This window comes from Homo sapiens, chromosome 9 (genome assembly GCF_000001405.40).
Source record: "Homo sapiens chromosome 9, GRCh38.p14 Primary Assembly".
NCBI classification, from domain to species: Eukaryota; Metazoa; Chordata; class Mammalia; order Primates; family Hominidae; genus Homo; species Homo sapiens.
Genome location: NC_000009.12, coordinates 42,365,530 through 42,368,219, shown reverse-complemented (window position 1 = coordinate 42,368,219; position 2,690 = coordinate 42,365,530). Strand labels below are relative to the sequence as shown.

The 2,690-nt window shown below is 38.0% G+C and overlaps 1 annotated feature.

Annotated features, from left to right (window-relative positions):
* Nucleotides 2,277-2,477: a silencer, noted in NCBI's record as "peak7244 fragment used in MPRA reporter construct". NCBI's record gives its function as "represses an SCP1 promoter by STARR-seq MPRAs in K562 erythroleukemia cells {active_cell/tissue: K562}" and the evidence as "EXISTENCE:reporter gene assay evidence [ECO:0000049][PMID:32103011]".

Below are 2,690 nucleotides of genomic sequence, written 5' to 3'. Positions count from 1 at the left end.
ATGTTGGCACTTTGACCTTGCATAATTCAAAGTCATGTCTCTGCACCACTGTTTCATTCTATATAAAGTGATTGACAATAATAGTTATCCCACCCAAGTTGGACTTCCATTTCTGTCAATTGGCCAAACTGGGTTTCCTAAAAAGCCTTGTAGCGCTACAAAATATCAGAAAATTTTATCAAGTCTACTTTTAAGTAAATGTGAAGCTCTCAAGGAAGCCCTGATGGCAATCCAGAAATAGATAAAAGCAGTACAGGAGCTACAGTTGCCTGGGGAACAGAAACTGACCTGGGTTACCCAGAGTTTGGGGTATTAACAACTACTCAGGGGAAAGTAAAAGTAGGCCTTGGACACATAAAATGTTGGGAAGGCTGAGCCAGACTTCTTGCATATAGCCGAGTCACAATAGGCTAAGAACATGAATTTAGGAAGGAAAGCAAAAAAATCTACAAGCAGTATGAAAAAAAAATCTCCAACACCTTGATACATTTTAATGAATCATCAGATGACAAAGAAATATACAAATTCTTGAAAGTGCCAGAGACAAATCAGAGATTCCTAGAGTGAAAAGAATGTCCACCTTTTAATGGGGTTGTTTTTTTCTTGTAAATTTATTTAAGTTCCCTGTAGATGCTGGATATTAGACCTTTGTCAGATGGATAGATTGCAAAATTTTTCTCCCATTCTGTAGCTTGTCTGTTCACTCTGATGACAGTTTCTTTTGCTATACAGAAGCTCTTTAGTTTAATTAGATCCCATTTGTCAATTTTTGCTTTTGTTGCATTGCTTTTGGCATCTTCATCATGAAATATTTGCCCATACCTGTGTCCTGAATGGTATTGACTAGGTTTTCTTTTAGGTTTTTTATAATTTTGGGTTATACATTTAAGTCTTTAACCCATCTTGTGTTGATTTTTCTATACGGTCCATTTTCTGCATATGGCTAGCCAGAGTTCTCCCAGCACCATTTATTAAATAGGGAATCCTTTCCCCATTGCTTGTTTTTGTCAGGTTTCTTGAAGATTAGATGGCTATAAGTCTGTGGTCTTAGTTCTGGGTTATCGTTTCTGTTCCCTTGGTCTATGTGTCTGTTCTTGTACCTGTACCATGCTGTTTTGGTTACTGTAGCCTTATAGTATAGTTTGAAGTCAGGTAGTGTGATGCCTCCAGCTTTGTGTTTTTTGCTCAGGATTGTTGTGGATATTTGGGCTTTTTTTTTTTGGTTCTATGTGAATTTTAAAATAGTTTTTTTAATTCTGTGAAGAATATCAATGATAGTTTAATGGGAATAGCATTGAATCTATAAATTGTTTTAGGCAGTATGGCCATTTTCATGATATTGTTTTTTTCTTATCTGTGGGCATGAAATGTTTTTTCATTTTTTGGTGTCATCTCTGATTTCTTTGAGCAATGTTTTGTAGCTCTCTTTGTAGAGGTCTTTCAGCTCCCTGATTAGCTGTATTCCTAGGTATTTTATTCTTTTGTGGCAATTGTGAATGGGAGTTCATTTGTGATTTGGCTCTTGGCTTGCCTGTTGTTGGTGTATAGGAATGCTAGTAATTTTTGCACATCGATTTTGTATCCTGAGACTTCGCTGAAGTTGCTTGTCAGCTTAAGAAGCTTTTGGGCTGAGATGATGGCATTTTCTAGATATAGGATTATGTCATCTGCAAACAGAAATAGTTTCCCAAGAAGGGAGTTAAAACAGGAACATCTCACAGCCATTACAGAAATTGAAGTATTTATGTATCTCAATTAAAACCAAACCATCATAAACGTATTTCTTTGAAAAATATCTTTTTTTTTTTTTTTGAGATGGAGTCTGGCTCTGTCGCCCAGGCTGGAGTGTAGTGGTGCCATCTTGGCTTACTGCAAGCTCCGCCTCCCAGGTTCACGCCATTCTCCTGCCTCAGCCTCCCAAATAGCTGGGACTACAGGCGCCCACCACCACACCCGGCTAATTTTTTGTATTTTTAGTAGAGCCAGGGTTTCACCATATTAGCCAGGATGGTCTCAATCTCCTGACCTCATGATCTGCCCACCTCGGCCTCCTGAAGTGCTGGGATTACAGGCATGAGCCACTGTGCCTGGCCGAAAGATTTCATTTTTAATGCCTGCTAAAATATTCCACTGTATGGATATACCAGAACTTACTCCTTGACTTAGTAATTAAATGTATTTATATTCTGTCTTGAGTTTGCCTCCCATGTTTCAAATATACTAGTCTTCTCAGTTACATTGCCAAGGCCATTATTTATATTTCGATGGTATTCTCAGCACCAGCTGCTGTGATCTTTGAAATGTATTCTTGACCTTAGATGCTCACTGCACACTTGACAGATTGAGAACTGAGTAGAGGTGCTTGTTAGTATCTGTATCTCAGTGGCTGGGGACAGCTGGACTCAGCTTGTGTGACTCATGCAAAGTCAGATGATCAGTCATAGAGGGAACTTGGAACTTAAAAGTGTAAACTGGAACTTACGCTTTTAAAAATTATTCTATCTCACATAGTGAGAAATCTTTATGACTCTTTAGTCTACAAAAGGGATCAGTGAACAGTTTCTGTAAGGTGACAGATGATATGGTATAGAGTAGTTCCCCTTATCCATGGTTTCACTTTCTGTGGTTTCAATTAAATGTGGTCAACTGTGGTCTGAAAATATTAAATGGAAAATTCTAGAAATAATGTA